The following is a 15,203-nucleotide window of genomic DNA, read 5'->3' as shown; positions in this document are numbered from 1 at the left end:
CAATACTTGCCCCTTCAAGCAATTTTAGAGGACCCAAAAACTTATGTGAACTCAGCAGCTGGAGAGTTTCACTCCTCTAACTTTAGAAGACACAACATGAAGTAGATACAGAAGAATGAGCTCCATCTCTAACCCCTCAAGAATCAGGAGTGGAATGTTTTGGGGAGATTTGCAATCCAGGGTCCCCATATTTTCAGATGCACAGTGTGAAAAAGTACCCATTAGTAACTGTTGGACCTTGAGGTTTTGTTGCATCCAAAAGTTACAGGAAGAAGCCCAGCCCTGGCAAACAAAAACATGTTGGATCCAGAGATGCCTAAATTGGAGGCAAACTTTGGTGAACTCTCGGCATTACCATTTTCTGTATTAGTCTGTTTTCACATTCATATAAAGAACTACCTGAGACTCGGTAGTTTATAAAGAAAGGAGGTTTAACTGACTCACAGTTCCACAGGCTATATAGGAGGCATGGCTGTTGAGTCCTAAGGAAACTTACAATCATGGTGGAAGGCAAAGGGGAAGCAAGCACTTCTTCACATGGCAGCAGGAAAGAGAGGGAGAGAGAAAGAGAGAGAGAGAGAGAGAGAGAGAGAGAGAACCAAGGGAGAAGTGCTACACACTTTCAAACAACCAGATCTCATGAGAACTCACCCACAATCATAACTAAGGGGAAAATCCGCCCTGATGATCCAACCACCTCCCACTATGCCCCTCCTCCAACACGGAATTACAATTTGACACGAGATTTGGGTGGGGCACAGAGCCAAACCATATTACACACTAACATCCATCCCCAGGGAGGAGCTTATTCACCATTTACTATATATGTGATGTGTGAAGAAGCATGATCCATGACGGTGCCTGTGCTGCCTTTACCTTTCCTTTACGTACAATGACTCAGCTGAACAACACAATAAATACCTCACTTTCATCTTCGTTCGAAGAGGCATTGCTTTGGGAACTGTCCCTGGTTTTCTTACTTTTGATAAATAATAAAATCCTCTTATTTAAACCTCTTTGGTTGTAGTCATTGAGCTGTCACCTGCCAAGCAATGGAACCCACTCATATGTGAGTAACAGTTTAGACTTGGTAAAATAATATGGCTAAAACTTATGGAGCATCCACTCTATGCTAAACAATTTATGTCATTATTTATTGTTTCAGAATGGATTTAAGGCAGGTGTAAATATGATATTTAATCTTAGTGCCATAGCTTAAAATAAGTCTTACCCTTTTTATAGTTATGCAGAAAAAGATTCCATGAACAAAATTATATAAAAAGTATATATTGTAACCAGCAATTGAATCCAAGCCTCTTGGCTCAGAAATCCATATAATTTCCACCACATTCCATTACTTCATTGAAAAAAATCATATAGTACATTTCTTTAGCTTTATTTAATGCTAATGTATGCTATTCTAGTGATTAAAAATGTAATGTGATATTCAATTGAAGATACTTTTAAAGATATGCAGATACACAAATGCAGTCAAGCATACAATTTACATACTATCATACACACACAATTATTTAATATTATTTAACATTTCCCAAAGTAAAATATTTGTCATGTCATTGCATTTGGATTTTCTCATTTCTTCACTGATCTGGTTTAATAATATCCAACTATTGCTAATTCCATTAATCAATGTGGTAAATTTAATAATTTCAAAATTTCCAAAAAGACAGGTCGATGATTAAGGGTTGTTGAAATTCTCCAAAGTGATGTTTTTCTTTAATTATGTCTCTGGATTCTGGAAATGTTGAGCTATTTTCTAAGGACACTAAAGTGGATCTGATTTGGGTTTAGAAATGGAGTACTCATGTTTGATTAGACAACAGTGCCACTCAGATAACTAGAAGGTTTTGCGGATTCAGGCTTCTTATGAAAGAAAACTGATTTTCATAACTTTTTATTTCTGATTAGAGCCGACTAGAAATCCCTGAGGACTTCCATCAGAAATGTGCAAACAAATTCCATGAAGACTCTATGGTTACAGTATTCTCAATGCAATTATATTTCTTGTATGTAACCCACTTCTCTTTCACTAAAAGCGATGACATCATTTTGACTGAGTGTGTACTAGAAAAGCTCATTTAAGGTCAAGGAGTCTTTACTGGTTTATGGCTAGCATAAGAGTTTAATACTAGGCTTTCAATATGGAGCCTCTGGTATTAAAGCAACCTTACCCCAAATAAATACCATTAAATATATTTTGTTGCATTCTAATTTTACGGCTCCATGAGTTTCAAATATACAGATTACATTTTAAAAATGAGTTCAGGATTCTATATTAACTAAACTTTGTGGCAGACAGAACTGCTTTCTTAAACTGTAGACATGGAAGAACTGATTAGGTATGCGCAGACTAGAATTTGTTCTAATGGTTTATCTTTGTTGCTAACAATTTTTGCTTGTGTATATTTCCACCTGTTAAATTACTCTATAATTTACTGTTTCCTGCTATTTGACAAGAAAACATTACAATCACAATAAAAAGTAATTTAAGGCTATTACCAATCAATGAAATATGTCCCAGTCTAAAATGAGATTGAAATAATTTATGGGGGATTTTACAGTCAAATTAGAATGAAGATTATTCCACAGGGGGAAATCAACTTCTGCAAAACTGCAAGCATCATATATTTCCTAATATGTTCTCACAGCTGAAACAATGTCATTATTGGAAGACAGCAGAGGAAACTCAGTGCAATCAGAAGAATCTTACAAATAAATGCTGGCAAAAAGAGGGTATTTTTGGACGCAAAACTCAGTAATGGATTTGAAGTTAATGCAAGATGAAGTTAATGCAACATTAAACCTAGGAGGCACATCAGGTTTAATACTGTTGAATGATTCACCACAAGTGTGGTTTGTTGACTGACATTTTTATACCCTTAACCTTAGGAAACCTTCCTAATAACATTTAGCAATTTAGCAATAGTATATCAGCCCTCCCCACTGCCCATCAATACACAAAACTGAAATGTCCTAGAACACAAGCATTTCATTTCAGTGTTGAAAAGAAATTACATTCAGTTTCTCTTTTCCTGGCAAATGAAACCTTGGATTTGAAGGCTTTATGAGCAATGACAAGATTTCATTGTATTTACTCCTATTTTATACCGAGAGTTCATGCAATGCATTTTACTTATTTATAAACCAATTCACATTCATCAAAAATGTGACATTTGGAAAATACAAAAATTTAAAGAAAACAAATACTTAGGAGCTACTGAACTCAACACAAATGGTTGGAAAATGAATAAATCCAGTATAGCATTCTTTTGTTTCCTTAATAAACAAACATAAAATGCTCAGTTATTCTCTACTCGGCTTCTCCTTTACCTCTCCCTCTGCTCTCAACTCTCAAAATTTAACTGCCTGATAGTCAATCATCCTATTGATAATAAAGAGTTGAATTCTCCAAATAATATAGACAAATGGAAATCTAACTGTCATGGGTGTGGTAAGAAAGATGTTAACTAATTTTTCCTTTAATATAGATTGACTAAATTCATTAACTTATTCAACTTAAAGCCAGACTCTGCTTTCGATGAGGTCTGTTAAAAAACAAAAAAGGGACATAAGAAGAGTGCTAGAATGTATTTACTGTATTTAATGACAAAAGCAGCAATAGGGCTTCTGATGAGATTAGACATTATATCAAGTATAAAATTATTTAGGCAGTTATTTTTAAACTAATTTTAATTCCCTGGAGGAAATAATGTAACTTGATTTTTTCCATTTAAGCTTTAATGAAATAAAACTATGTCTCCAAAATATTAGAATTAGAATTAAATCCAAATCCATATAAAGTATGCTGCTTTATATTCTTTTAAGTTATCCAGGATCCCTCTCTTATTTAAAATTAAAAAAATTTCCAAATCCCCTGGAAAAGTAAACGTTACTTTTACATTTAATTTGTTCTTTAAAACAGAAGACATGTGTTATGCAGATAAAGTGTAGTAGACAGAAATACAAATAAACCATAGCTTGTTTAGTATATAATTAATATTTCTAAGAGTATTCAAAATTTATGTGTTAAATTAATACCTGTAATTGCCACATTCACCCATTTCTTACTGTTTTGTTTTTAAAACACCAGCATATTTATCCTGATAAAAACACGCAAAAATATGAGCTTTTCTCTATTTAAAAAAGTGGCCTATTTGATAGTAATAATAACATAATTTGTGATTCATCATATATGTAAAAGTAAAATATATGACAATAATAGCTCTTAGGAATGGAAGGATTTAAGTAGGTACATACTTTTGTAGGGTTCTTTAAAACTGAAGTTGTATAATATTATTTCAAAATACACTGAATATAAAAATACATACAACAATCCCTAGAGTAAGCATTAAATAAATAAAGCAAGTATTTATGCAAAAATATTATAAAATAAAATGAAATATTAAAAATGTTTGATTAATGTGGAATACTGCCGGAAAGATAGAACAAGAACACAGAAAACAAATGACAAATGGTAAGATGGTTGATTCAAACCCATCTTAATAGTAACATAAAATATAAATACATTAAACATTTTAAATAAAAGCTGAGATGGTATGGCTAGATAAAAAGCAAGGCCAATCTAAGTGATTATTACAAGGGAAAGACTTTAAATATAAAGCTGCAGGTAGAATAAAATGAAAAATATGAAAAATAATCCATGCAAACAGTATTCACAAGAATGTTTCTTTGTAGATGTCAGATAAAGTAGATTACAAGACAAAGAGTATTAATAGAGAAAAAGAAAATCATTTCACAATAATAAGAGAGTCAATTAATCAACAAATATAGTCATCCTTAATATCTACCCATTTGTAACAGAGCTTCAGGTCCACAGAAAATGGACAAAACTAAAGGGAGAAATACAAGTAAAATTTAGGATTTAAATGCATCTCCTAATAATTAGGATAAGAAAACAAAATGTGATAAGAACATAGAAATTCTGACATTCACCACCAACCTGACTTAATTGGCACTTATACAATACTATACCCAACCAATGCAGAATATTCCTTATTTTCCTAACATACATGAAAGGTTAATAAGATGACAATATGTGAGAACCGAAAATGGTATACATCTCCAAGGATTTGAATAATATGGAATATGTTCTCTGAGCACAACTGAATTAAATTCCATGATGTGCTTATTTCACATTGCATGCCTGTCAAAATATCTCATGCACCTCATAAACATATGCACCTACCGTGTACCCACACAAATTTTTAAAAACAATAACGAAATTAAAAAATAAATAATAAACAAATTAGAAGTCAGTGTGAAAAGGTACCTAAAGTGTCCCAAATATGTGAGCATAAAGCTAAACAATTCTAAATAAATTTTAGAACAATGAAAAAGAACAAGGCACATTAGAAAATAAGTAAAATTGAATGATAATGAAAACACAGTGTAGCAAAACTTGTGAGATGTATACACACACAGTGTTTATCAAAAAATGTACATTTCAACTTTAAGTGTTATAAGTTAAAATGCTCATAATGGAAAATAAACACCTAAGATTTTACCTTAAAAGACTGGGAAAGGAAGAGCAAATTGAACTAAATAAGTATAAGGGAGAAAATAATAAAATATGAATGGAAATCAATAATTTGTACAAATAATATACAAAAATCATAAAGCTAAAACTAAGTCCTTTGAAAATTAATAAAATTAATATATCTCTAGCAAGCCTTATTGAAAAAAGAGAAAGGCTAGAGCTCATTTACTGGATATTAGAAGGAGCTCACCATGACCTCTTTGTCTAGGACAGGCTGCCTACCTAGTGCAGATCCCAGATCAATGAATGGAGGAGACTTCACTTTAAGTTCATGATTTAATTAATGTCTTGGACCAGTATTTTAACTGCTAAGTCTGTGTTCATATTTAAATTTGACGCTAGAACTTTGAATTAACCCAAAATTACTAAAGAAAACATGGAATTTTTCCAAGCTATCACCATGAATAAAGATTAACTACTGTATGAGCAGATTGAATGAGGCAATGAGGAAGACAAAAGATGATTATTTTGCAGTGTAACCCATGAGTCCTGCAAATATCAGCCTTATGAAAGAGTTTCAAGTAATAGCATTATTTAGAATGAATGTCATGTACAACAGGAATATTGACTTTGCTATACAGAAAACTTTTTGATTGAAAACAGAGCTCTGGTATAATATAGCTAAGCCTTGGGAAGTTTTGAGTTGCCAACAATTGCTTTGTGAACAGTCCAAAACCAGAAATACAGAATTTCTGGGGAAAGTGTGATTTTTATTAAGAAAAACTGGTTGCAAAAATGTGGTTCAAAGACCAGCATAAGATTGGAGGAATTATTCTCAATTGGAATTCAGTTAGTCATTCACAGCTCCCTTCCCATGATATCCCATTGGTTTATGCCTGAGTCTTTAAGACCTGTAATTAACAAGTGAGTAAAAGCTCAAACATCTCCATAGGACTTGGGGAGCACAAAGCAGCCATGGTGTTGGTGCCAGCAGCCTCTGCAGCGATGGAAGGCATTGCCAGCTGCTTTGGCAGCAAGATGAAACAATGCCTCAAGGTAGACATCTTCACCCTCCACATTAAGCATTGTCAATCTCAGAGTTTGGCAGGTGCTCACAAATTGCCCAGAAGAAGAGATTAACTGAACCTACAAGAGATATATGGGGAAGGGGTTTAAGTGGTAAGCATGCCACCTGGATGTCAGTAGAAGTCATCCAATGGGCATGTGTTTTGAAAAATCTCAGACTTCTTTGGGAGACATTTGAGACTAAGCTAAAATTACTACTTAACAGAACAGCTTGAGCCAGATGAATGTTTCTTATTAATACTATTGAATCTTTGTTTTTACTTTCTTGATGTTTTTGTTTTTGCTCCCTTAGTGACTAGCCAATGACTACAGCCACGGAATCTTCTCTTTTCTAGTCCCAAGGATGTAACTGCCCAGTTATCTTTGAAGAACTCTCCCCATCAATAATCTAGCTCCTTACTAATTAATGTTTTCAGGGCACTGGAGATACTTTTCTAAGAAATAAGTGTTACCCTAGAGTGTTATTCATTTTAATTAGCATTTAATGCACCTTACTGTAGGTCTAGCATTGCTAACGTAATTCTAACAACTCGTATGTTATTTTTTAAAGTTTTTTCCAATAAAAATAAAACTTTACTAGAGACAATCTGAAGTATTTGAATAAAAAAACTTAGAATGTTTTCAATAGTTTCATCACTGCTAAAAACCTCATTCATATAAAATTCGAGTCTGAGTGACCTCACACTGAAGACTTATATCTAACACATGAGGAAAAACAGGGTGAGGATTTAGAGGTAGAGCGATTTAATGCAGGTCCTAAGCCAGCGCATCATCCTTACTCATAAATTGCTACATTATAATTATGGTCCATATTTTCCATTTAGGTCATCATACACATGTTGGATATGTTTGCTACATAGTTTGAGGACATTTAAGACATACTTTAATAATTTTAATAATTTTGTATATTAAAGTTTTCAGACTGGCAATTTGTCAAGGAAATAGAGTGAATGCAAATATACTTGAAATATGCTCAACAGAGTGGATTATTAAATTATTTTATGACATATGTTAATGTCTGTCCCCTCCACACCCCAATTTAAAAGGAGTATAATGGAGTAGCTTAGAATAAAATTGTTTCTGATATTTTAAAGTCACCTTATATGAGTTATGCAGAAATTAAGTAGCATATTTATTTCAAACATTAGGCCCTTCTAAGAATACAGGAGTGAGGTACTAGACTAACATGTTTCACAAAGCGACATACGGACAATGCCTCAGCAGTTATGGAAGAAAAAGATGATGTGTTCACATAAAGTCTAAAGGTCCTTGTTTCTGGACTTTGTATTATCTTTCAAGCATAAAGTTTTGAAATAAGTGCCTCCTTTAAACTAAAAATAAAGAGAGCTGGATGTGTGAAATTCATATGGCTACAAGAGAGGCTTTGCTGTGTGTGAGTTCTGAATACTTTTCAACATACATGTATCTCACTCTTTCACCTTTCTTTTTGTCTTACACAAAATGTCTGTTTGGAGTACCCCTTTAATTTTATGCGTCGTTTCTAGGGCAGTTCCAAAGCAAATGTTTCTGCTTTACCATTGTCCTCAGAAGTATTTCCGTCCTTAGGAAATGGTGCTTATTTGATTCCTGAGATTTGTTATCTCCCTCAGTGATTGCTAGAGTCATCTAATATAGGTCAGGTATTTCTGTCTCCCCTTAGGCTAACTCAACTCTAGAAGTATGGATTCTTCATACTTTTCTGATCATAGCACTGATTCCTGAACAAAAGCCTTTATTAATATTTATGTCTTATGCAGAGAAACATCTTTTTTTAAAAAAGGATAGGTTGTAGTGAATAATCATTATCCACCTAGGCAATAATTCACATTCCTCACCTCTGAAGTTTGAGTAAAGACAAAGTTTGCCTAGCAGATGCAATGTTAGCCTGGAGGAGTATATTGACTTTAGGCATTCTGTCAGATTCTGTGTAAAACTGAAGCAATCCCTCCTCAAGTAAATCCTATTTAAACACTGAACTGTAATTACATATGACTTACTAATTTAAACTTGAGGTTAATATCGAGAGGATTAGTTTTGTTTGCAGTTCAAAAACGTACAAGCATGCTGTAGGCTGCGTGCTGGATATTTTTCCTAATAGGAAATTGTAGATGTTTTCATCTATGAATTATTCCTGTAAATTTAACATTGTTAGGAAATACATCATTAGTTTGCTAGTTTTGCAAACACCCTAATCAATTGGTAACTATGGTATTATAGATCAAAAAAATGTGTAATTGAATGACAAGGGACATGACTTCTAGACACTGCTCCCTCAATAATTAGCCATCTACCATGGAATAGGTCACTTCCTCTCTTTGGGCTTTGTTTTTCTCATCTGTAAATTGAACATTAAGTTTGGATGCTATTTTTTTTTCTGATCTAAAACTCTTTGACAAATAGGTATCCAGAGCAACTAATTTATTAACAGAAGTTAAATCTTCATCCTCAATGTTACATGCAATCCTACACATATAACCTCTGTGTCTGTATGAATATGAGCGTTGATCTAAGGCATAACCCAAATAATTATGAATACATATATAAGCCAATTCAAACTAGTAAGGAGAAAAAAGATAGTGGGTGACTTGCAAAATGCTAGTTGGATCCATAAAGATAATACACATATAGTCAAAGATTGGCTTCCTCTTCTGCGTTTTAACCACACAACCATTCTGTCAACCAAGCATATTATATTTTGGTGGGAGAAGCATTTATGTGAAACTTTAAAATGGTGATGAGTTCAACTCTACGAATTCATTTTTTTAATTCTAGATCTGCTAAACCATGAAATATGATAGAAAATTTTTATGGCAGCTGCAGAGGAAAGCTAGCATAAGACACAGGGAAGAGCTTAGGATGGCAGAAGTCTTTAGAGGTAAGGAATTTGTGGATTTCTGGAGAAGAAAAGAAGACCTGGGATGAAAGAGTTCACCCTGAATTCCCTAAGGTGAATGGAGGTTAGTGTCTCTGCTGTTTGGACTCTTATCTTTAGAGAAGTCATTTCAAATGTCAATTTAAAATACTAATGGAAAACCGGTGACAAGGAATATAAATGTTAAAATCAAGGGAAAAATATTATTGAGGAAAGTTGATCTTTTTAACAAATACATTTTTCAATAAACTTTATTGTAAAAGTTGAAGACGTGTGTATGTGGAAATGAATTACATCTCAACTGTGACTCATGATGTGGCATCTCGCACATCATGGTGATATATCCAGGTTGCAGGTTTTCTGAAAGTGCATCAGCTGAAATCATGACATAAAAGCAATCTCTAACAAAAGTCACAGTAAGTCTGTCTCTATTTCTAAAATAGTAACTTGTAAAGTTTAAACAGTTTGTCCTTTCCCATAATTCTTTGTGAAGTAATATAAAAAGATTGGCAATCTAAAGAAAAAAGTTAATAAAAATGCATAAGCATTAAATACCTACAGAGAACACATATTCTTAACCCTAAAGCTGTGAGTGAAATTTTAAGGAATCTCTGGGCTGTGTGAAAGAAAATCCAAGTCACACATCATGCTTACCCAAATATTTACATATAATTAAAAGATTGAATAAAAGTGAATGTTGAGTCTAATCTGAAAATATGTATTTTTTTACCTATTACTATGCTTATGTACATTTATATATATAATCCAAATTCTACAGTTACTAATTATATAGAGAAACAAAATATATTTGTCTGATTAATCCCTTTGACCCATGGCTAAAAAAATTGAGAGTTAAAATAGACTTTTGAGCCCATCCTTCCTAATCTCCCTTCTAATTAGGTCGATCTCTTTAAAAATGTGTACATAAGAGTGTGTGTGTGTGTGTGTGTATGCAAATGTATATCCAGAATTTGGCCACTTCTCCTCACCATCTTTCTTTGTACTAACCTAGTCTAAACCATGATCATCTCTCTCTACGACTATTACAGGCTGGGCGTGGTGGCTCACGCCTGTAATCCCAGCACTTTGGGAGGCTGAGGTGGGCGGAACACGAGCTCAGGAGATCGAGACAATCCGGGCTAACATGGTGAAACCCTGTCTCTACTGAAAATATAAAAAATTAGCCGGGCATGGTGGCGGGCGCCTGTAGTCCCAGCTACTCAGGAGGCTGAGGCATGAGAATGGTGTGAACCTGGGAGCTGGAGCTTGCAGTGAGCCGAGATCGTGCCACTGCACTCCAGCCTGGGTGACAGAGTGAGCTTCCATCTCAAAAAACAAAACAAAACAAAACAAAACAAAAAGACTATTACAGTAACTTCCTGCATCTGGTATTATTATTATTCCATGGGCAAAATGCACCTCACAGAGAGATTCTCTTAAGTTATCATTTAGGTCATATGGCTCCTCTTCTCAAATTCTCCAATGGCTTCTCACTTCACTCATAATAATACCCATGAACTTAGACTTTTGCAGTCTTATAATCATCCCTCCAAATGTACTGTGGGCTTCATATAGTTATATTCTCTTTTTCAGTTACACGAGCTACACTGGCATACTGGCTGTTATTTCATCACACAAGGCCTACTTCCGCCCCAGAGACTTTGAACTTAAATTTCAACCTTCCTGAAATATCCTTTCTCCAAATATCCATATCCCTTGTTCCTTCTTTTCTTTTAGGTCTCTGCTCCAGTCTCCTCTTATTCAAAAATTCTGTTCATCCTTTTCAAAAAGACATCCACCTCTCTGTCATACTGATTAATTTTGCTTTGTAATATTGGACTCCACCTACCATATCATTATATACTTTGTATTTATTTATTTATATCAAAAGCAAGTGCCATATCCATTGTTCTGTGCTGATGACTGTTTGTACATTCAGCATTATCAGTAGTGAAGTTAGCTTTGGTTAAGGGGAGCTCAAGCTCTTGAACCAATGTACAGATTTTATCCCTTTTACAATTTAGATTCTTTTTAAGGAATCATCATACAAGTAACAGGAAGTATGAGAAGTAATGATCCCTTCAAGTAAAGATACACTAGTCTACCTGGCTTATTGTTAAGTGCTTCCTGTATAGTGAGTAATGTTTGCTGGGCATTAATATAAAACACAAAAAATACACATATTTTGCTCGCTCCTGTAAATCCATCCATATTCCTATTCTCTGATCTCATTTTGTCAAACCTTCCAAGAACCCTGACCAAACATTGAGTCATTTGTCCCTTCCAAGGCATTTATACATATATTTTTTTTTACCTTAGGTGACTCCTCCCTGTACGTAAGACAAAACAACCAAGCATACCACTTATAACTCAGAATATCCTGAGTAGGGTTGTAGTCCCACAGCAATCCATTTTCAGGTCCGTCAGTGAGCTGGTGTGTCCCAGCCTACCCAAGATCACTGTGACATGGATCTTTTTAAACACTGGCATTTAGAACTTCTGACTCTCACAGCATTCCTTGAATTAACACCTCATTAAACTGAATGTGCACTTTTTTCTTTTTTATAAGTTCTAAAATAAGAGAAGTTAACAAATTAGCAATAGTTAACAAAGTTATCAAAACGGTAAAGTAAGGCAAACACAAAATTGTTCAAAAGCACAATCCAAAGATATCCTTTTACCTGTGCTTTGTTCCAGTCCACTATAGATGAGGGTCTTAATGGTTGTGCCAGGAGTTATCACAATTTCACTCCGTACTGGTAGGGGAATCTTTATTACTTTTTAATCAGTGAGTAAACAGTTCTAGAATCCTCAGGGTCAGCTTTCTAGAGTTACTCCTGTTAATGATTATTCTGTGGTAAGCAGGTCTATGCAAACTTACCCCCAAAGGCCAAACATTCTGAGGCGAAGAAAGAGGGTCAAAAATCCAGTTTCTCAGAAAGAAACATTCAAGAGACTTAGCAACAGAAGTCATGTCTTGTGGTGAGATGAGATGATAGATCCCCAGCCATTATCCCCTGGACCCAGGATTTACATACTATAGAGAAATTGCCTAGGGTAGGGCTTATGGCAAGTGAGTATTTATAATAATATCAAGATTGTTTTGACCTAAGGCAGCATTTGCAGTAAGTTAGTGAAAGTGAAAATCTTAGAAACATTTCCTGAACTGGAGTTAATCATAAGTCAACATAGCAGGTTGGCATCAAAGATAGAGTTGCTTTAGCCTCCACAATAGTCCCTTAGCTTATGTTCTCTGAATGCACAATTTGAAACAAGGTCTTATGTTAAATTAGTTTATTAGATTATTCCAAAAAATAGGAGTTGGGGAAGAGAGAACATGAGATGAGGAAGAAGAAAAAGCCTGTACAAGGGATAATTATTGCGATCCTCACTATGAGAGGGTTGTTTCAGCAGGGATCTTCGGCGAAGCCCACAGAATACCTCCAACAGCTATTTGCTTTCCAATCAGCTCTTATTTGTTTCATTACTGAGGAAGGCCCCTGAATGATCACTTCCCTATCTTTTTGAGGCACTCTTGCCATTTCAAGTGGCCACTGTATAGGAAGAGTCCCAGGGCTAAAAATGAAGTGACGATATACACATGAAGCAATTCCCTGTCACCTTAAAGTAAATTCTGGCCTGAGAAGTGTGTATGGTACCACCCACTTAAGGTTTGAATGGAGTAATAAATAAGACTAAGTTGACGTGAATTAGGCCTCTGATATTTCTGTGACCCTGGGGTTTACAAATCAACTGTTAAGCAATTTGGTCAAAAATTTTGTTAGGTGTTAAAATTAGGCATATAGGTGTAGTCATCAGAATTTAATTACACCCCTTCTTTAAGAAAACATTTCCAGAAAGCACATCCTGTCTCTAAATGTTTTATAATTCATTTTATATAATTGCAATAAGATTTTAATGGAGATAATAGAAAACACAAAGGAGAAGATTTAAACAAAAAATCTTCAAATTGAAGAAAAAGAAGACTTTCAGGTGTTAGCTTGATCGTGAATAGCAATTTCCAGATACTAAATTCCATAGATAGATGCTATGGCTGCAATATGTCCACCCAAAAGCATGCTTTGGAAATTTAATCCTCAATGCAACAGTATTGGGAGGTGGGGCTTGACAAGAGGGCTTTACGTCATGAGAGTTTCACCCTTCTGAATGGATTAATGCTGGTTACAAAAGGGCTGGAGGCCAGGCATGGTGGTTCACACCTGTAATCCCAGAACTTTGGAAGGCCGAGGCAGGCAGATCACCTGAGGTGGGGAGTTCGAGACCAGCCTGACCAATATGGAGAAACTCCGTCTCTACTAAAAAAATACAAAATTAGCCAGATGTGGTGCATGCCTGTAATCCCAGGTACTCAGGAGGCTGAGGCAGGAGAATCGCTTGAACCCAGGAGAGGGAGGTTGAGGTAAGCTGAGATTGCTCCACTGCACACTCCAGCCTGGGCAACAAGAGCAAAACCTCTCTCTTAAAAAAAAAAAAAAACAAAAAGAAAGGGCTTGAACCCCAGTTCAATCTCTTGCTCTTTCCTTGCTTTCTATCATGAGATGACACAGAAAAAGACATTCACCAGGTATCTAATCCTTCTTCTTGGACTTCCCAGCCTCCAGTACCAGAAGCCAATAAATTATGTTCATTATAAATTACCCAGTCTCAGGTATTTTGTTATAGCAGCACGAAATGGACTAAGGCAGTAGAATTTTCTGAAATTGACAAGACTGAATATCAATATATTAGCCCTTGATTTCCATCTCTCCTTTCACAGTTGTATTTCTCCCATTTTTCAGACAAAAGATGTGTTGTTTCAGGTATGAGACTCTCTAAGGAAGAAAACAAAAGCACAGTTAGGGAATGCACTGCCCCTAAAGCTAAGAACCACTGAAGTAAAACATGAGAGATTTAACAAGATATTCGAAGGGAAATGTCACTTTGTTATTGATTTATCTATTTTTCTGTTTTAAAATTAAAATACGGAAGTGAGAACATTTTCATATGGATGCTTATTAACCAGTTTATTTAAATTTAAAAATAAAGTTAGGTTGTTCTCAAAGGAATTATTTCTAATTTGTTTGATGAGTTTCATGATATGGATGGGTATTTCCAACTCAGCTATATAGCAAATACTTTCCAGAAATGAAGTGAAATAAATCTTTATCTTCGAGGTTTAACAGATATTTTTTAATAAAATGTATTTCTCATATAATACATTGGGATACTTATTAGTCAGCATTCTCCAGAGGGAAAGAACCAATAGGATATATGTATATATAAAGAGGAGTTTATTACAGAGAATTGGCTTACGTGATTACAAGGCAAAATACCATGATAGGCCATCTACAAGTTGGGGAAGGAAAGAAGCCAGTAAACAGGCAGTGTAACCTACATTCTACTGTCTGAAGGCCCAAGAGGCCCCGGGAAGCTGCTGCTGCCAGTTCTAGGGTACAAAAGCTGAAGAACCTTGATATGGTTTGGCTTCTTGTTCCCACCCAAATCTCATCTCAAATTGTAATCCCCATGTATCAGAGGAGGGTCCTGGTGGGAGGTGATTGGATCATGGGAATGGTTTCCCCCATGCCATTCTTTTAACAGTGGGTGATTTCTCATGAGATCTGATGGTTTATAAGTGTGCAGCAGTTCCCCCCCTCACTCTCTTTCTCTCCTGCCACCATGTAAGACACGTCTAGCTTCCCCTTCACCTTCCACCATGATTGTAAG

General features: G+C 35.1%; 1 long non-coding RNA gene across 1 annotated transcript in view; it reads right to left on the bottom strand.

Annotated features, from left to right (window-relative positions):
- The window catches only part of LINC02027 (long intergenic non-protein coding RNA 2027), a 101,780-nt gene extending 89,563 nt beyond the window's left edge, over nt 1–12,217 (bottom strand). The window contains exon 1 of the long non-coding RNA NR_132411.1: nt 12,158–12,217. This is a non-coding gene — a long non-coding RNA (long intergenic non-protein coding RNA 2027). The remainder of the gene's footprint in view (nt 1–12,157) is intronic.
- Between the last annotated feature and the right edge of the window lie 2,986 nt (nt 12,218–15,203).

This window comes from Homo sapiens, chromosome 3 (genome assembly GCF_000001405.40).
Source record: "Homo sapiens chromosome 3, GRCh38.p14 Primary Assembly".
In the NCBI taxonomy this organism is placed as follows: Eukaryota; Metazoa; Chordata; class Mammalia; order Primates; family Hominidae; genus Homo; species Homo sapiens.
The sequence above is the reverse complement of the archived record's forward strand: the minus strand, read 5'-3'. Positions and strand labels throughout refer to the sequence as shown.